The sequence below is a fragment of the Homo sapiens genome, chromosome 12 (assembly GCF_000001405.40).
Source record: "Homo sapiens chromosome 12, GRCh38.p14 Primary Assembly".
NCBI classification, from domain to species: Eukaryota; Metazoa; Chordata; class Mammalia; order Primates; family Hominidae; genus Homo; species Homo sapiens.
The window spans coordinates 24,005,760-24,027,231 of NC_000012.12; the positions used below are offsets into that span (position 1 = coordinate 24,005,760).

General features: G+C 36.5%; 1 protein-coding gene across 22 annotated transcripts in view, besides 1 other annotated feature; it reads right to left on the reverse strand.

Moving 5' to 3' along the window:
* The window catches only part of SOX5 (SRY-box transcription factor 5), a 1,033,147-nt gene that overhangs the window by 476,256 nt on the left and 535,419 nt on the right, over window positions 1-21,472 (reverse strand). The window lies entirely within an intron of this gene.
* Window positions 6,816-7,110: a silencer, noted in NCBI's record as "tiled region #3652; K562 Repressive non-DNase unmatched - State 13:Ctcf". NCBI's record gives its function as "represses a minimal TATA promoter and a strong SV40 promoter by Sharpr-MPRA in K562 cells {active_cell/tissue: K562}" and the evidence as "EXISTENCE:reporter gene assay evidence [ECO:0000049][PMID:27701403]".

Below are 21,472 nucleotides of genomic sequence, written 5' to 3' on the forward strand. Positions count from 1 at the left end.
CAGCTGTCACCATGCATGACAGAACTTGAAACTATATTTTAAAAACCTTTTTATTAAAATACAGAGAAGCTAAATATAGCAAAATGTGCATTTGTTCCACTAGCTATACCATATATTTTCCGGGCTAGGAAATATTTACTGTATATTTATTGCAGAAGCTTTTCTTATGGAATAAAATATGGAGAAGAAAAATCCTGAAAGTAGTGCTTGAACCTTCAATCTGCACGTAGAATAGTTTTTGCATTGATACCCAATCTTATTCATTCGTTCAGCTAGGTTTATCACTGGCTAATTTAAATAGGCTATTGATGTCAAAGGCTTTTGTAATAATCTACAATGGGAAAAAATTATTACTCAGACCCAGTCAGTAAATATGAAAGTTTTTGTTAGAGCATCCAGTGGTCACTCTTATGCACATAAAGAAGGTCCTCATCTTTTCATCAGGATAGTAGAACAGAAAGAATATTAAAATACAAAGTTGTCTGGAAAAGGAAAGAGAATCTTTTAATGTACTATCTCATTAATGGTTAAATGATTAATCCTAAGATGTTACAATAACAAAAAGCTGGGGAATATTAGTGGCAAAATGCATTTCTTCTTGTTGTCCTTACTTGTGGGGTTCCATTATCCTGAAATTCTGTTTATCATGGTCCCCTTATTTACTGCTTTCTAAGGGAGGTACAGAACTTTTTTCTGCTTCTGGTGGGTTTAGAAGCAGAAATTGAGCATAAGTCACTCAGTCCCTTTCTCTTTTTGTGTCTCGGGAGCTGGATGTTTACAGAGATCACAAGTTGTCCCTGTGTTCTGTGCCTGGACCTGTGCCACTCCTTCCAGGATTGTCTTCATCCACTCCTTCCAGGATTGGGTAGACAAATCTGCCTGATCCTGTAACTCAGTGTTAGGAAGATTCCTTGTCCATATTCTCCGATATTACCTTTATCAGTAATAAAGGTAATCTTTTAGTCCTCACCTGTCTTATTTATTTGTATAATGGCTGTTTTAAAAAAAAATCAGACAGAAAAGATCTATTGATTCATCCTCCTCAAATAGCCCCAAATAGGTCTTAGCTGATTGGCATTAATATCTTAACTGAAGTGGGTGCGGTGCCTCACGCCTATAATCCCAGCACTTTGGGAGGCCAAGGCGGGAGGATCACCTGAGGTCAGGAATTCGAGACCAGCCTGGCCAACATGGTGAAACCCCGTGTCTACAAAAACACAAAAATTGGCCGGGCATGATGACGCATGTCTGTAATCCCAGCTACTCGGGAGGCTGAGGCAGGAGAACCACTTGAACCCAGGAGGTGGAGGTTGCAGTGAGCTGAGCTCCCGCCATTGCACTCCAGCCTAGGTGACAGAGCGAGACTCCATCTCAAAAAAAAATATATATATATATATATATACATTTATATATGTATTTATATATATAAATGTATATAAATGTATTTATATATATAAATGTATATAAATGTATTTATATATATAAATGTATATAAATGTATTTATATATATAAATGTATATAAATGTATTTATATATATAAATGTATATAAATGTATTTATATATATAAATGTATATAAATGTATTTATATATATAAATGTATATAAATGTATTTATATATATAAATGTATATAAATGTATTTATATATATAAATGTATATAAATGTATTTATATATATAAATGTATATAAATGTATTTATATATATAAATGTATATAAATGTATTTATATATATAAATGTATATAAATGTATTTATATATATAAATGTATATAAATGTATTTATATATATAAATGTATATAAATGTATTTATATATATAAATGTATATAAATGTATTTATATATATAAATGTATATAAATGTATTTATATATATAAATGTATATAAATGTATTTATATATATAAATGTATATAAATGTATTTATATATAAATGTATATAAATGTATTTATATATATAAATGTATATAAATGTATATAAATATATTTATGTATATAAATGTATATAAATGTATTTATATATACACATACGCACGCACACACACACACACACACACACACACACATATATATATATATCTTAAATGAAGAAACAGAGGCAGTAAGATTTAGGGGTTACTTAAGTCCTTAATATTCCATTATTTCTGAATTATTTTATGCTATGTCCATTTCCTTAGTTCCTAAATAGTCTCACAAAGCCTTCCTAATTAAATTTAAGAAATGAGCTGACAGAAAAAGTATATCTTCTTTGGTATTTTAAAGTATAGCTGCCACTCAATAAACCAGAAACGTCTATAGAGAGAAATAACTATAGAGACCAGGAATATCTGAAACAAGAGACTAAGATTGCTATTTTTCTAGTCTACTAATTTAGGGACAGTTTGATCCAAAACATTCGAGATAACGAGTGAAAAATGGATGAAGCTACTTTTACCAAAACACTTTTTAAGGATTTTCAGTGTACATTTTGCAGAATATTATGCCAAATAAACAACTACTCTAATATAAAGGACACATAGTATCAATTATTATCACTGTCAATCAGAGAATAAAAGCATTCTACAATGGGCCTTGACAGAACCGACTATTATGATTGTTTCTGCAACGCTGGAAATATGTAAATGAAGACACTCAAGAAGACTTTGACACAACAGGTTTAACAGATAGGGCCTAATTATGTCAGTCAGTGGAATTCAATTACCAGGAGGCATAGATGGACATCCTAGTACAGAGCTTGGATTAAATCCACCTATATATTTTTGAGGTCTAGTTCAAAATATAAAAGAAAAAAAAATCCAAGCTCTTAATTCCCTGAGCTTATTTCTTTAAGGTATTATGACCTCTATTTTAATATTAAGTAAAAGAAATTATGGACTCTTTTGGAAAATATATCATTTTCAGTATTACAATTTAAATATTCATATTTTGAATAACTTGCAGGTAAATTCCTATGTTATTAAAGAAGTTCTCTCCCAAAAGACAGATATGGCCAACACTTAACAGGGTAGGTGGTAGCTAGCCTCTAAAGATGGCTCCCTAATGAACCATGCTTTCCAGTATTTATACCCCTGTGGACTCACCTCCTCTTAAGATTGTGTGTTGGCCCTGTGACTACTTTTAGTCCCATAAAATGCAGCAGAAATGATGCTGCATGACTTCCAAGGCTAGGTCATAATACATCTTGCAGCTTTTACCAATGTCTTCTGAAATGTTCACTTTGGAAGAAGTCACTTGCCCTGTAAGAGACTGCCATGCTTTGTAAGAGCTTACCATGTGAAGAGGCTGCAGGGAAAAGAAAAATACCAAGCTTACAGCTATTACAGCCATCCCAGCAGACATGTCAGCCATATAAGCGAAGAAGCTATCTTGGATATCCAGCCCAGCCATGCCTTCAGATGATTTCAGCCCTGCTGTGATCTGACTACAACTACATAAGAGATTCCACGTGAGACCCATCCAGTTAAACCCAATCAAACATCGGGAGCAGAAAAGAATAATAAATTGTTTGTTTAAGCCTCTGAGTGTTGGGTTGGTTTTTAATGTAGCTATAGATAAACAGAATTGGGTATTGTGTGGAAAGAATTCAGACTAGGTAGGAATTAGACTTTTTGATTCTTAGGCTCCCATTCACTGCTTGTGTGGTCTTATATAATCAAAACTTATTTGCATCCTATATTTTCAGGTGTAAAATGAACAGAGTAGACTACACTTAGATCAGATCTGAGAGCCACTGAAGAGATTCATGGGTTCTACAAATTACCTCAAATTTAGAGCAGAATCTTATGTATATATATATTAAATTTTGGAGTGACAGGCTCTATTTCAGCAGATTTTCAAGGGTTTATCAAATTACAAGAAGAGGTTAAAAAGATCAGAGTATTTCTAATGCCTTTGGCTTGAAACATTCATTATTTTATGAAAGCCAAAAAGAAAATGGAAGCTTACAGATGGCCTGTGGTATTTAGTCAAGAATATTTTTATGATTAAATTTTACAAACAGAGATATCAGGTCACATTATTTAAGAATATGTTTAAATCTGTGCTTGGTCAAAATGGTATTGGGTTCCCACCCATCCCTAATACCCTCCCCCAGAAATTGAAACTATAAAAACCTACTAAGATACAAATTTTGAAAAATTTAAGGAGGGACAATGAACAAAGTAGAGATTTCTTGCTGGAATTATATTGTCAGTCTTGGCCTCTTGCAAAGAAGATATCTTCCAGTACCTAGCGTGTTCCCATTAGCTGGTATTTTCTTATCTTCATTCAATCACCCAAATCTAGTCCAAGCTTTGGATTCAGTTTCCATCAGTAGAAATATAACAATTTTCATGTGTTTCTTAGCAATAAAACAATTTCTCAAAACAAGAAAATGTACTGAATAACTACAATGTGCCAGAAACTTTTCCATTTATCAATAGATTTGTCAACGTTTTCAGAGTCAAGATAAGCTTATTAATTTTTGACCTTTCTTGCTACTAGAATATAGTTCCACAGGGGCAAGGATCTGTGTTGGTTTTGTTTCCTCACATACCCCAAGGTGCATCTCTAGGATTATGTCTGGCATACAAAGATAATAAATATGTGTAAGATGAATGAATATGTGTGTATGGAGGAAAGAAATTTGAAAAGGAAGTAACTAGCAATAACACATTGGATTGCATCCTGAGAAATCTGATCCCCGTAAGAAAAATGTTATATAGGTAGAAACAGAAATAGGAGGTAGCAGTTGCTTTGCCTAAATTGCACATACAAGAGGCTAAACCAAAGGAACACAATCATAATCCAGGGCCAAGGAAGAAAGATAATTTACACCTTATTAAAAAATTGCCATTGCTACCAAGTGCTGTGCATTTCTTGGAGAATCTTTCTTTAAAAATTTGAATAATATTCTAGGCCGGGTGCTGTGGCTCATGCCTGTAATCCCAGCACTTTGGAAGGCCAAGGCAGGTGAATCACTTGCGGTCAGGGGCTCATGACCAGCTTGGCCAACATGGCAAAACCCCATCTCTACTAAAAATACAAAAAAAAATTAGCCCGGTGTAGTGGCACATGCCTGTAGTCCCAGCTATTCAAGAGGCTGAGGCCCAAGAATTGCTTGAACCTGGGAGGCAGACGCTGCAGTGAGCCGAGATCATGCCACTGCTCTCCAGCCTGGGTGACAGAGCCATGCTCCATTTCCAAAAAAAAAAAAAGAATAATATTCTGAAATATTAATAGGGTTTAGATGCCAAAGAGACCAGTGGACTAAATCCCAAATGACAACATAATTGCTAAACACTATTTTTGTTTTAAGAAGTACATATTGGAAATATTTATTTTCTAATAAAGGGGAAATCATGACAATGATACAGCAATAAACTGAAGTAGCCTATTTAGAAAATTGCTTGTAATACAGCAGGGCTACTTACATATAGGCAGAATTGCTTATTTGCAGATTATCTACAATTAATCAAATTAAAAAAAATAGAAAACAATGTTCCTTGTCTTACAAATAATTCACATGCGCACATGCATACACACTCATACACACACACTCAAATTTACTTTACCTAAATAGAAGTGGCCACCATGGTGATTCATATCAATGACTTGATAATCATCTCCTATTTTTTCAGGATTGGGAAATACGTTTTATTTTACCAAAATTGTAGATGAGCCCATTGTGACTAAAATTTTCCTTATATATTTTCTTTCCTAATTCTCTCCCTTCTTTGCATCTATTCTTTCTTTTTACTTTCCCAAAAGAAGAAGATTCCATATTTTTTGTTAACAACTTTTATTTTGTAGAGTAGGAAGAGATATTAGCAGTTCTGGCCCATTTCTCAAGTTATTCCTTTGTGGTAAAAACCTCTTGTTGCTCATTCTTCTTGCTGTGCCTACAACCTGATTCAGGCTTGAGTTGACTGGAGTTAAAATCACCTTAACACTGGAGACACAGGTTAACGGCGACCATTCTAAAGTAACAATTAAGGATAGTAAAGTAATGTATCTGAAGTGAAACTTATCCCCTATTGCAGTTTATTTATTATCTTGGTCAACTTTTAAAATGACACTTATACTAGGAGTCTTCCTAAACGAATGAGTATTAACATGGAACATTTCCTCTGCCAATTGACTAACAAGAGAAAATATTATTTTCTCCTATTAATCTTTGATACAAGTGTAGAAAAAAAAGAAAAGGTTAAACTGAGATATCTGATGTTAGAATCACACTCAGGTGAACATTTTTCCCAGGACTTCAAATTTTATTCAACAGTTAGAGGTCCATGCGTTCTTTAGCCACAGATCACTTTTGCTAACTTTTTGTAATTGCATACTAATAATTCTTCAAAAACTTACAAAATTTCATCAAATTGCTGACTTCAGCAGAAAAAAAACAGAAATGGTAAATGTCTAGAATCTTAATTTGCAAATGGGTTATTTAGCGGACAAGTGGTTGTTTATTTTTACTTTAAGCAACTTCTTTCCATAGTAACACAGGCAACTAGAATGAAGTATGTTCCCTTGGCAAGACAGAATGAAGAAAAGTCTTGTTCATGAGGGCAGTTTCCAAGTCAACATCACAAAGGTAACTTACATCAGACATATTTTTCCACACTGGAAAGAGTCCAGAAGACATTCAGGACATGGAAATTTCATATGACACGGAAGTCCTACTGTCTACAATTTTCAATGAGATGTAAAAAGCTGATGAAATGATGGATTTGAATTTTTTTTCAAACCCATAATTCACAGTAGATAATTTTAAAGTGAAGGAAAACATTTTGTGATCAATCTTTGAATATCTCTGACTCATCCTCATAACTCCATGATTACAAAACTGTAGCCTACAAATCTAGGCTTTGTACTTGTCACCTATGGCTTAATAAATACTACCAGGTACTGCTAGATCTTGTCTGACAAACCTCCAAGGAAATCAGAATTGCTTTAGGATGAGAAATCAGCAGGTGGCACTCTTTCCTCTACATCCATTTTTAACCACTGTTTTAGGGCAGAATATTAGAGGTTACATCCTAAGAGGTTGATACCTAAGGTCTTGGGTGAACAGGGGTAAATCAGTGTTGAAGACAAGAGACATCACTAGCGCAATGGAGAACTACCAAACACTTCCTAAATCTATTCAGTAGAAGCACCCTAAATCTATTCAGTAGAAGCAATAGGAACTATTGATAAATCATATTGATAAGTAGCTATTGCCATCTCATTTGGTGATCACTTCATTCCCATGAAAGATTAATACATTTGTGGTTCAAAAATTGTGTCTTATCCAACATGAACAAAAAAAGTTTCTGCACATACGAAATCATCTTCACATTTTATTTCCCTACCTTCACAGCATATTATCATTCAAAGCCTTTATAAAGAGATGAGTTTCTGTATGTGTCTCTAGTCAAGCTTAGAGCAGGAATTGTATGGACTGACTCTGCAGACAGATGAGAAAAAATACAATGGTGCCCTCTTAATAAGTGCACATTAGAGCTCCAATACTTTCTGTAAAGAAGGCTAGTCTGAACAGTGTTGACTTAACTGCTATAACTACTTCCCTGTATATTTACGAAACTTACTTTCTTCATAATAAAAAAGAGGTATTGAGAACATGTCCCCTCAAAACCTAAGACAGCTTAATAATTTTAATGAAAAATGTTCATTCAGAGATAAGAAGAGACCATTTCATTTGTTTATTTAAAAAGAGAATTTCTAAAACGTATCTGCATATTTAATCTGTGCCATTGCCAAGAGTAACCTGGTTTCCCAAGCTTCAAAAAGAAGCTCTAGTTTTTAATAACAATGTGAAATTTGGTGATTTGTCCTTTACACAGTAAAAAGATACTTGGAGAAGACCCTTGCGGAGGGTCTGCTATAGTGAACTAATTTGTATCTGGTCTTATTTGAGGGACTCATGGGAAAATTGCAAAACTAATCTGATTTCCTTCAGAGCTTAACAAATAGAAGACCATTTTTAAGGCTGAAGTTTGAGATATAAAGTAAGGCTTATTATTTTTATCCATAAAATATAGTAAATATTAGAACAAATTAGAATGCTGTAGTTTAAATGGTTTTCATAGATTTCTAAGACCATTTATACATCCTATTTCACATGAGATGCCCCATTTGGAGCTGCCCAAAGGGTATTGTGGAAATAAGACAAAGTACAGCTGTTCTAGATGGCTAGATGAGTGATAAACACAGAATCAACTTGAGCTGGTATCTTCTTCCCATTTGCAAATAAGAAGAGAGAGATGGGTAATACCATTTGAAGAGAAGTGTCTATTAGTCTATTAGTGTACAGGAACCTGAGAACCCTTCGTGACTTGTAGTTTTTATGAAAAGATTTACTTTCCTTTTATTAGCAATGGATTTCGGAAACAGAACTGATGAGGAGATGAAGCATGGATTCCACAGGGCATTTTAAAATAAGCTAGTTGCTCTTGTTTAATCAATGCACTCTATGACTGGAAAGCTCAGATAAGCCAACATTCCTCTCTTAGCGCCTCCTTTAACCGTATGTCATCACATATAACCTTCCTGGATAACTACTCATTATGCATGACGGCATACCAACCTGTGAGAATATGAGGGAGAAAGCATTATGCTCATCAGAGGCTGTGGGTTTAGCCAACCTGCCTAAAGAAGCCCTGAGATTTCTGAGCCTTTTAGCCTCTTTCAGTTCCTGCTCCATCCTCAGCCCTTTCTCTGGTGACTATGTATAAGGCAGCAAACAGCCTGGCAGCACCACACATGTCTGAACGAAATGGCCACTCTTCTAAAGACTTAAAAGTTTGATGTACAACAAATGCAACTTGAATTGAGTAGTTAATAAGCCTTGATCTTGAGTGGATTCAATAGGTTTGTTTCATCCACTGAAAAGTCAACTCATACCTTAAACATTGTGTGTTACAATAAAATGGTAGGTTTTGGGAAAGTCACTTGGAAAAAAGAGTAGAAAAGTCTAAGTTGCAGAGACAAAAACTGGACCCATAAGTAGCTTCTTATAATCACTGATTATTTAGTATGAAATTTTAAATGACTCCTTAAATTCACAATCTGGGGGCCTTGTTCCTAATATAGACTACAGACTACAGGGTGTTGAGAAGCACAGTATATTATTTCATTAAGTGCTTTTTGGGAGAAGGGGATTTAGAGGTAAAACTGCTGGCTTTGTGTGGCAAGGTCATGACCTTTGACAACTTTGGAGCTTATCTCTTTCATCTTCTCACTCCCCAGAGACCTCTAACTTGCAGAGGAATCAAGCACATAAGCCTGGGCTAGGCAGAATTCATCATTGTTGTGGAGCTAGGTTCTCTCTTTCCCTCTCTCTCTCTTTCTCTTTCTGTCTCTCTCTCTCTCTTTCTCTCTCTCCCTTTTTTCCCCCTCTAAACAAAACAGATCTGAACTGAGCCAAGGAAACAAAAATGTATTGTTCCTCGCAGATGGAAGCGAGTGTCGCCTAGGTAACCAGATTAATCTCCTTTTTCTCTCCCTTCCTCTCTTGTAGTGCGGTAATCGGTGGGCTCTTTTCACAAAAAAGCCAGCCTCAAAGCTGGGGCTCTAACTAGGTTCCTAATTAGCTGCAATTTACAATGAAGACAACATGATGAGATAATAGAAATTTGCAAAATAATGACATACCTCAGCAAAATATTCCTCCTCCTAAGAACCATTTTTATACAAAAACAATAAAGAGGGCCCTTCTAAAGCAAAGCTGGAAAATGGTGGTGTATTATGTGACACAGAACATTATTGTTCGCCTCTTGTTCCCCCAATCAACAGCTTATTGTTTGGCATCTTAAATAAAAATGACTCAAATACAGGCCACATAATGATCTCCATTGCGCTAATACACTGTATATACTGAGTAGTCAAAAATGTACGGGAGCCAATGCCAGTGGGGCTGATAAAGTAGCAGGGCCCAGGAAGGTAATTTACAATACAATGCAATAAGCATTATTACTGTTCTTAATCACACGTATCTTTCTGATTCCTGTCAGGATGCAACTCTGACATCAAAAAAGGGCGCCCAAAAGGAGGACAGCTAGTTAATGAAATATGATGGATCACATTTGTTTTCATGTGGTGGTTAGCTCAAATGAAGCAGCCTCCAGACTGTTAGCCAACAGTATTCTCTTGTGTGACATCAAAGACTACTATTCAATGGGGGCAGAAAAAAAAAAAAAATCACAGTAAGACAGCACAGAGGGAGGAGCTCCTAGGAACTGAAAGAACCATTAATAGTAATCTCTACCTTATGTCCAAAAGAACAGAGCATGAGGAAGAAAGGCCAAGGCCAACCAGTCAGTGATTTCACAATGAGGATCATCAGCACCTATGCTGATTTCGGGAGAATGGTGCAGCTAACATGCGGTGGGCAAGATTTCACATTTTGCTACACAGGAGCAATTTGTCACTAGTGACAGGAGGTACCTACCCTCGTGCCTTGTCTGAATCAAGATTACAGCACCCTATGAAACATGGAATCCAAATAATAAAACAGAATCCAATGCCATGTTTTGCATCAACAAGAATCATTCATAAATGACAACAGATTGTCTAACCAATCGGGAAAAAAAACAACCATACACAAAAAGTAAGTCCACATTTGCTTATGGACGAGTAATTGTGAAGAGTACAGCTGCACATACTTGAGAACTAATGGTCCCAGGACTTAACCATAAATAACTACTGACTAAAAACCAATTGGCCAGGGACAGAAAAAGCATTAACCCCTTGGTCATTTGGCCCTCAACAACAACAAGACAACTAGATCCCCTCACAGAGTAATTAAAAGGTAACAAGTAGGACAGATTAGAGAAGGTGCCAAATGGGCTCTAATGACTTTGGAGGAAAAATTGTTGTATTTGCTAATAACATTTGCAGAAACGCAAAAAAATGGGAGACCATCTGGGTATATCACAACCCCAAAGAGTTTGGCGTCCGCCTTTTGGAAATGTGGCCACAATATATTGACTTGCATAGGACTACCAACCTTTTCCAAAGATTTTTTTTTTTAATTGAATCTCAGCCAACAGAGAAAGAGAGCAAAAGGCTGTGACACCGTGCTGAAAACCAAGGATTAGTGTGGTCATAGTTATCTGTGTCTCTGCTTCTAGATTTTCCGTAGATTTGATGTTTACTGTAAAATGATATCTACTCACCAAAACCACTTTACTTTTCAGTTTTATGTAAACCTTACAAGAAATATTCTCATCCAAAGAATTCACTGAGTGACTCAATGTAATATAGTCGGTGGAAATAATAAAAAGGAATGTGTTAAAACTATTAACTGACTGTATACAGTGTTGGGACAAGAATGTTTGTGAGGCAGTGTCGAGCCACTGGTGGCCCCATTTAACATCTCTTTAAACCGTCAATAATTGTATTTGTCTTTTAAAATTGTTTGAGGAATTATTAAGGCAAAGGCACCAACGCATATAAGGTCCTCTTTATCCCTGTGCATTTCTTTCTCAGAAGCTCCCATCCTGACTTAACCCGACAACCTGCCTCTTCTGCACATCTAACCTGGGGTAGCTGAACTAAGCTGGAGAAAATCACGCAACAGGTTATGTGTGGTGGTTCATGCCTGTAATCTCAGCACTTTGGGAGGCTGAAGTAGGCGGATCACTTGAGGCCAGTTCAAGACCAGCCTGGCCAACATGGTGAAACCCCCATCTCTACTAAAAATGCAAAAAAAATTAGCAGAGCGTGGTGGTGCACGCCTGTAATCCCAGCTACTTGGGAGGCTGAGGCAGGAGAATCACTTTAACACAGGAGGTGGAGGTTGCAGTGAGCCAAGATCGCGCCCCTGCACTCCAGCCTGGGTGACAGAGTGAGACTCTATCTCAAAAAATAAAATAAAATAAAATAACATAAAATAAAATGAAATTAAAAAAGAAAAGAAAAGAATGCAACACCACAGACCAGGGCCACTACCCCAGGCAGACCTGTGCTCTTAACCCTATGCAAGAATCTTCTCAGTTGTCCTTTCACTCATTTTCATAGCTGTCTCCAACCTTCACCATTTTCTTTACTTCCCTATCACCGTCACTTTCAGATGACCTCACTTCCCACAGAGATGTACTACCTGCCTCGTCCACACACACATCACTTTCTGCAACCCTCCTTAAAACATCTCTGCAGGAAAGATGCGTTGTCAGGGGACTAGGCATCTTCCCCCGTTTGAGGTTAACCCCCACTAATGATTAGGATCCACTCTGCTCCCGTTAACTCAGGATCTTGCTCCATCAGTTTTTCCCAAACCTTCTTATATCTTCTACCAGCTCATTCTCCTTAACCTATATACACATGCTCAAATCACTTTCATCCTATTAAATCCTTCCTTCACACCTCCATCTTCCTTTATCTGCCCCTACATCACCGGCTTTCCCAGAGATTCTTCTTTTCAGCCCAGCTTCCCTGACCACGTCCATTTCACAGCCTCTTCTAAAACATTCTAAAAGTGAAAATTAGAATTTAAAATATGGACTAAAATATCTTCTCCCTTGCAGTTTGTTGCTGTTTTATCATTTGCTTAGATTTTTTTTACCTGCAATTTTCTACGTATTTATCCATAAACAGCTGAATATATTTTAGGAAAGAAAAACACAATATTCAACGTATCTGATGCATTGGTTTCAAAGTCCTAATTGTGATGAAATTATTAGAATTACAGAAAATCAGGCTTTGAAGGAATCTAAATTTTGCATAAGTTGGAAATGAGACTTCAACACTTTAGGTCATATTTATAAGAGCAGAGCTGGCTGGGCGTGGTGGCTCATACCTGTAATCCCAGTACTTTGGGAGGCCAAGGCAGGTGGATCACCTGAGGTCAGGAGTTCAAGATCACCCTGACCAACATGGCAAAACCCTACCAAAAATACAAAATACAAAAACTAGCTGGGCATGGTGGCATGTGCCAATAATCCCAGTTACTCAGGAGACTGAGGCAGGAGAATCGCTTGAACCTGGGAGGCGGAGGTTGCAGTGAGCTGAGATCACACCCATTGCACTCCAGCCTGGGCAACAGAGTAAGACTCTGTCTGGAAAAAAAATAAATAAATAAAAAATAAAAGCAGAGCTATAACCTGGCATGAGGTTCCCTGACTCCCAGTTCAGTGTCCTTTCCTTTAGAAATTGAATTATATTCTCTAAAATACTGCCCTTCACACAAAATTCTTATTTAAAAATTAGCAAACACAATATAACATTGATCAATTTAAAATATAATCATGCATTTTTTTGAGGGTCTCACTCTGTCACCCAAGCTGAAGTGCAGTGGCACCATCATGGCTCACTACAGCCTCAACCTTCTGAGCACAAGCAACCCTTCCCCTCCACCACCTGGTAGCTGAGACTACAGCTGCATGCCACATGCCCGTCCAACTTTTAGAAAAAAAATGTTGTACAGATGAGGTCTCACTATGTTGCCCAGGCTGGGCTCGAACTCCTGAACTCAAGTGATCCTCCTTTGGCTTCCAAAAATGCTAGGGTTACAGGCATAAGCCACCATGCCCAAATATAATGCATTGAAATGAAAATGCTTTCCAGCCTTTAATTCTTTAGATAACATATAGACATCTCTACTCAAGGGTGGCCTACTAATTTTCATAGATTCAAAACAGAACTAGAAAAATAAATTGCCAAATCTGGGATTGGAAATGAATTACAGATATATAGAATTATAAAGTTTTAAAGATGGAAGGAACCATAGGGATCCACTGGCCCATCTTCCTGTTATTTGTTTGTTGTTTGTTTATTCTAAGGCCTGATTCTCAGAAAGGAAATGGTCATAGAGCAAGCAAACAGCTATGTTTATTTCACACTGCATCTTGGTATAAAGCTTAAAATATATGTTGATGAAGAGTCAATTTCTCCTAGGTTAGTCAGACACTTGGAGGTAGGAGTAAGTTACCTGTGGAGTTGCACAAAGATCCTCACAAGTTCACTGCAACTGTGGTTAATTAAATGTGCCCAGTGTCTCAGAGTTGATTTACTACTATAAGAAGCCATTCTCTTCCAGGGAAAGGCTTAGTAACTTGGTGAACTGAAGCTCCATTTTACTTAACATCATTTGATCTAGATCTGTAAATTATATTTCCCTCTTAAACTACGAGAAGCAGTTGAGGGAATGGAGGCAATTAATTACTTTTACCAAAGGGAAAAAAGTTATTACTAAAACCTCACGTGGATGTATCCTGGTTCCACACTGTGTGCCAAAGCAAGTTTGGTGGAGCTAAACTATAATTAGGCCCTTTTAGTAATTAAATCCCTTTGAACAAAGTAAAAGAACCATGTGATATTGAATTCTGGAAAATTTAAGTCACATTAGAGTAATTTTTAAACTGATTTACTCCTACAAAATTTTGACTAATCAATGTTGAGCAGTCCTTAAGGATATCAAAGGCACCAAACTCTATACAATATGTAGGTAACTAAAGGTCAAAGTTCTTTGACTTGGGCCCCAACATTAACCAACCCCTGATGCCCCATGATGATGTAGTTCAAATCAATAACTGAAATTGTGACTCGAGTAATCCCTTTGATCGTTACACCTGAGGTTACTAACACAAACCTGGGTTTCTCTCCACCCTATTCCAAAGTCAAGACAAGTAAAAACAGACAAAAGAAACTCTCCCAGCTCAGAATTAACAATGTTCAGGCAGTGCTCTTTACTTAAAGGAAGAAAACAATTAAGAGAAACCTTGAAGTAATCTCATTCTGCCTGTTTAGCCTCTTCATCCCTCAATGTGTGGTTAGCAAGTGTGGCAATCAGGGCTAAGGTCTGCTATCATTCGGCCTTAATTAAAAAAGACACAAGCTGCGGAGCTGTGAATTAGAAATGTAGCTATGCACTACCCCTGATTAATTCGAGGCTCATGTTGGATTAATAACTCCAAACAAAGAACAAAAGGAAATTGTTATGCGAATTGCAGCCCTCCCAGGCCAGACAAAGGTCAAATCACAGGATTTCAATTTCATCCGGAGTCGCTTAATCAACTCCCTCGGAAGGAAGACCATATGTAGTTCTGAAAGCTACCCATTGTAGTCCTCTTGTCACTGGACCTGAGAGACGGCACAGTCATCCTCTCAAACTATTCTCAATCGCTTCTCTTCTTTCCCCTTTAATATGACAAAAACATCATTATTACCAGTGATTAAAGAAATAAGAGGTCTGCCCTGCAGAAAACATCCCAACAACTGCTGGTTTATGGAGTAAGTTGGACACTGTTGGCAAAAAGCCTGCAGACTTTGCTCCTTTTCCTGAGAAAGGTCTTCACCAGCAGCGACAGAGTCACAACCACCACAGGAGCGAGTGACATCATTGGCAGGGCATTGGGAAGGTTTTCTTACTCCAGTACATCTACTGAGAGATGACAATAATAACTTCTGTCTATTAAACACAAAGGAAGTGCATGGAAGGTACAGTCCAGGAGATTTCAGAAGGTATCAGAAGGCAAGGTTCTCTCCTATGGCTGAGTAGAAGCCCTGCATGAGATGGGGACAGAGGTCTAAGTGGCTCAGGAGACCTGAAGGGCAATGACAACCACCCACCCCTACCCCAGCAGTTCTAGTTTCACCCACATTTGGGGTTTTCTTCTCTTGGAGACTGCACTAAGGTCTAATGTAGGCTGAGAATGGCCGACTCTGATTAGCAAGAAGGGATTAAGTGGTTTGAAGATGTGACGACTTACATACACCACAGCATTAACGCTTTTCACCTTGTCCACACCAACGAGCTATTAATGGTAAACTCTCAGGACCATCACAACATCGTCTTGTATAATCAAGACCCAGTGTTCCTCAAATGAAATTGTAGCAAACTAGATAGTTCTTTCAAATGACAAAATAATAATCTTCAGAGATTTTAATATAAGAATTCCAAGATAGCCCTTTGGCCTAATGGAATCAGCACGGTATCTTACGATAATGATGCCGAATGTAATCCTTCTATGAGATGATTCACTGGAGTGCTTAACGAAGTACGCTTTGTCAGAGAGATGCTCATCATCGTGGATTATCAGAATTCGTATCATCCAATGTGATGTGGCAAAATTTTCAGCCTCTGCCTTCTTCAAGGAATGCAATAATAGTTGTCACCTTCATGTACTCTACGTTTAGTCATTTGGGGAATTCATTTATTCCTCTGAACTCCCCTAGTGCTTTGGTGGGACTTCTCTTATCGAACATATTATTTTCTCATGTATATTATGTATTTGTTCACTTCTTTATCTCTTATTCATTGAACAAATATTTATTGAGTGCCTACTATGTGTCGGGCACTATGCTAGGCACTGGAGATAAAATGCTATCTAATAGCAGACAACATTCTTGCTGACATGGTCTTTACAGTTCAGTCAGTGAGACAGATCATAAACAAACGCAGAATCATAACATCTCACGTGTTATTTAGGAGAATACATGATAGCATGAGGTTTTATCCTATTAAGGCTGTGAGAAATTTCCCTGAGGAAGTGATACTTTTTTCTCAGATATAAAGTAAGAATACAAGTTGAACTTGATGAAAAGAGAGACAAAAGAGGCAGAGCCTCTTGTCTGAGAGAGCATGACAAGTGGATTAGTCTGAAAGGGACATGAGTCTAGAACTTAGGTGGCAAGGCAGAGAGCAGCACAAGATCAGTCTAAAGAGGTAGGACCCTAGAACAAAAAAGCAGCCTTGTAGGCCATGTTAAGAATGCTGGTGTCATCCTAAATACAGGAGGAAACATCTAAAATCCTGTAAGTGGAAGTAGTCAAGATACAATCAGAATTGTGTAGCCATTGTAATTTGCCTACCATTCTACAAAATCTCTAGTACTTGAAAACAGTTCACTGGTGTCCCTTCCCAGTGCCAAGCACAATGTTTTCCACACTAGAGTGGCACCTTGCTCCCAAGGATTGGCAGGGCTGATTCAGTTTTATATTACTGCTCCATACACATGCCCATGCCTAAGCCATAAGCATGGCTGAAGAGGACGGTCCTCTTAGCAAGAGGAGAGCCATTCCTTAATTTAATTTTCCACTAAATTAAACTGAAAAGCATTTAAGTATATTGTTTGAATGGTGAATACACCAATGAACGAATAAATGGCTTTAATAACACACTGGAAAATGGCAGTTGCAATCACTGAGGACATTAGCGCCCCCAACAAAACTTCTGACCATGGGTAAAAAAAAAAAACTGGCATGCTTTCCTCCTTAAAATTTTATTGCTATTGTTTGGGTTGGGTGACTTCTCAAGGGAAAACAATAATTTCTACCTCCCGAGATATTCAAAGGTGTAATGGCAGTGCTTTTTCCAAATCAACCCCATATCTGAAACATAAAGTCTGCTATTTCAATTTAATGGCTACCAAAAAAGTTACAAATTTATCTGTGAATCATAATTCCCAGGGAGTATTTATGCAAGCCATGTTCTTTATGTGACATACAACTATCAAATAATGAGCACATTCATGAAGCACATTCAGATGTTTGTTACACATGATAGAACAGCTGCATCAACAGAGCTTTCTGAGGATTATTCTTCAAGTTTCTTCTTAAAGCCACTTCATTTCCTTTCCCAAAACCAGTATTACTTGATCTGCATATTTAAGACAAACCTCAGAAACTGGATGAATGTTAAATTTTTCATATTAGTTTGAAACCCAGAGAAGCTGTCCAAATCCCAGTAATAAAATGTATAATTATCTTGCAGACAGTTTAAGTCTTACAGTGTCTGATTGGAGAAGGAAAATTTATCTCAATACAGAACTTGTTGACTCTTTTAGATAGTTTGTAAACATTACTTCAAATTACACTCAACAAAATAAGTGACCAACTTAATTGCTAAATTTCATTGTTCCTTTTACTGAGTTTTGACATTGGCACAGGTAGTGGTAAATTTGGGGTTATCTATGCATTTATTTTTAGAGTTGACATGGAGGAATGATAAAAGTGATTCCCCATTAATTGATCAATTAAATGTCATATGCTCAGCTACATATACATTTATTTGTCTATTTTATTTATCTTTTAAAAACTGAGCCATGTGCTGCAGGTATCTGTTTATTAATTAATTCATTATTTATTGCATGATTGCCAGGCACTGTGAATATAGCAGTGAGTAAAATAAACATAATCCCCACCCTCAGGATGCTTTCATTATCTCTTTGACAAGTGAGGAAAATGTGGGAAACAATGGGAATAAAAGTCAATTATCTTTACGTGTCCTGTTATCATATGTAAAGTGGTAGAACCATGCTTTTGAAATCCAGAGTCTCAGATTTTAATTATGCTGTTATTTTTTTCTGAATATACTGTAACTGCAATAAGCATTTAGCCAGGCAGTCTCATGTTAGAAACTAATTTAGCCTAAGATAGGTTATTTTGAGGAGATTATTTAATAAGTTATTAAAATACAAAGAAGTAAATTATTGCCTCAGTATTTTGGAATATAATGAAAAATGGAATACAATGGTCAAAAGCAGTTTATTTTACTTTCCAGGACAAACTTCTATTTTACACATTGTAAAGGTCTACTGTGTTTTAACTACAAAATAATTTCTTTTGATTTCTTGTAAAGTGTATTTCATTCACCCAATCAAAACATCAAGTGAATTTTATATTAAGACAATGAAAGCATACAGTCTGTTATTTCCATCTACATTGCACTGTATCACATTAACTGAAAACAATTTTTATAGCAATACAAATCAACTCAGATTTAACCTCCCAAATAACTGCTATGTGACAGCTATAAAAAGTAAGTAGTATAGCTTAAAAATAACTACCAGAATTCAGAGAATACGGGAATTCTTAGGCATTTGCTCAAGATGAATATTTTGCTTCAAAACAAGTTGAGCTGACTAAAACTGACTACATTTCAGACATTTCTAAATATGTGTAATAATTTTCAAACACTAATTCCAAATTATTGCACTCACAAATGCTGTCAAGGTAACAAGTAGGAATCTATACTGTGTTAGCATTGGACAGAATATATTAAAAGGGACTACAACCTTTAATCTCCATAACATGACCAATCTGTAACTCTGAGTACTCAGAATTTTATTTCTGATTATGAAAAGATTATAAAGCTTGAGTATAAGCACTTAGATTTTCACTGAGCCAAGTAGAGTAAGACTGATAATTCACATCAAACTTCTCTACCCTATAGGAATTCCAGAGGTGATTTCTCTGAACAAGATAACCTATATGCATATAAAAAGTGACTACTAAAATAAGTGATGACCTGAGTTCTATAATTAAACATTTACTAAAATCCTATCTTTTACTAAATTTTAAACTTGCAATGACTTGAGAAAAAACTAATAATGATGTAAAGAAACCTGTAGAAAATACTTCAAAACTGACGATGCTATTTTTAATGTATAAAATATAAAAGAGAAAAGACAAGAGAAAACAGAAAGCTCCCAAATGGTGGGATGAGAGCAAAGTTGAGGAGGATGGGCCTTTGTGTTGAAGGCTAACATGAGAGTGAGAAATGGAAAGATGGAAATACACAGATTGTAATCCAAAGCGGAGGCCACCAGAAATCTGAGATCCTGGTAAACATGACTTGTGTCTAAGGAAAAAGAAACGTATTTCTCTAAACTCATGCAAAAGGTTTGAAGGTTATGTAAACAATGAAAAGAATCCAGTCTAGAGAGAAAGAATTGAAAGTTACTAGCTCAACTCTAGTTCTCTTGCTTAAACATCTCCATTTCTACTTTTTAACATAAGAAATTTGCTAGCAGTTTTCCCAAAGAAAATATTATTTTAGATACAGAGAACAGTGACTCTCTGTCTGGCCTTTTAATATTCACAGAAGAATGGATCCTTCTTAGGCTGCAAAGACTCTCTACCCCTATCTAGTGGTACCTAATGCTTATTACAGGGAAGAGTAAAACATTTACCTCAAATTCCAAAATTAGTTGACAGCTGATAAACAAGCGGGCAATGTCAAAATGCCAATAAAACTTTCAAAGTAATTCACAAATAAAATAGCACACCTAAAAAATACCAATGACTGCAATTACTGAAAAAATTCCATAGAATAAAAATACTCATTTGTGACCATCCAATGTTCCTCTGATATGAATCAGAAGAGTGAACTGGATCTCACTCAGGTGAATATTAAGATTAGTTGGAAAAGAATAATAAACACAGGAACTCTGTAAGCTTCACAATTAGCTCCTGATTACAAGATGTGCTTTCTAATCCACACCCCTACAATAGGTTAGATCACTGGATTTAAAAAATATTCTTAGACTCTGAACAACCTAATATGGCTCAGCATCTATTTAAATGACCAGACTTAACATAGCTCCACTCTTAAAAGATAGTAAGAAGAAAACAAAATACCTCATGATGCTTAAAGTAAACACAATGAAGAAGGAAGCACAGGAAAACTAAATTTGGCAGTTTGGCTCTTTTGCTTCCTAAAGGAAATGATTTTGACGGGGTAACCACGGGAGTGAAGGTTCCAGTGATCTTTACTTCCTGGACTACAGAAGATGACAAAATCTTAACATGGATATTTCTCCAACTCTGCATTAGATATTCCGAGTATAAAAGATTTATTATCTCAAAAGAGATATCCAAGAACTTTTTAAAAAAATTCACTGATTGTAATTTAATAGTGGCTGAGAAAATCCCACTGGTACTGTGGATAGAACTGGTGAGGCCTTGACCATAGAGAAGATGTTAACCCTGGCTATGAATGTTAAATTGTGGTCAGGTGTGGTGGCTCACATCTGTAATCCTAGTACTTTGGGAGGCCAAGGCAGGTGGATCACTTGAGTTCTGGAGTTTGAGACCAGCCTGGGCGACAAGGCAAAACCCTGTCTCTATGGGAAAAAAAAGCAAAAAAAAAAAAAACAAAAAAAATTTCACCAGGCGTGGTGGCACACACCTGACCCTGTCTATTAGATAAAAAAAAAAAAGGAATGTTAAATTGTATGCATAGAGTTCTTTAAAGTTCTCCATAGCAAATCTGCAACTGTGTTAATGTAAACTCATTCACTCAGGAAAAGCGGAAGCCACTGAGGGAATTGTGCACTGCCATCGAAGACTCACACCAGGCTCTGAGGACTTTGCCATGATCGTGAATATAAAATCTGAGGCCACAGTAGTAATGAAGCATTTAAGAAAGATTTATAAACAGCTGAGCCTTTAAAGGTTAATTTTAAAGCCAGGAGGACCCAGAAAGCTTTGTATCATATTGTTGTAGTTATAGTCCCTTTGCCTAACATGGATTCTTGTCAAAATTGTTTCTGATTTAATACTCAGCCAATTCCAATCCACTAAAACTGATCATGTTGATAAAACAAATAGACACTATTTACATATTTCTTTCTTTTACTTAATTCCACAGCCTATCTGCAACTACAAAATACTCCTACTTCTTCAAAACACCCTCCACCTTAGCTTCTGAGATTCTAGGCTCCTTAGCCAGATCTTTAAATTTTGAACTCCTCATGACTCACCCTAGGCCCT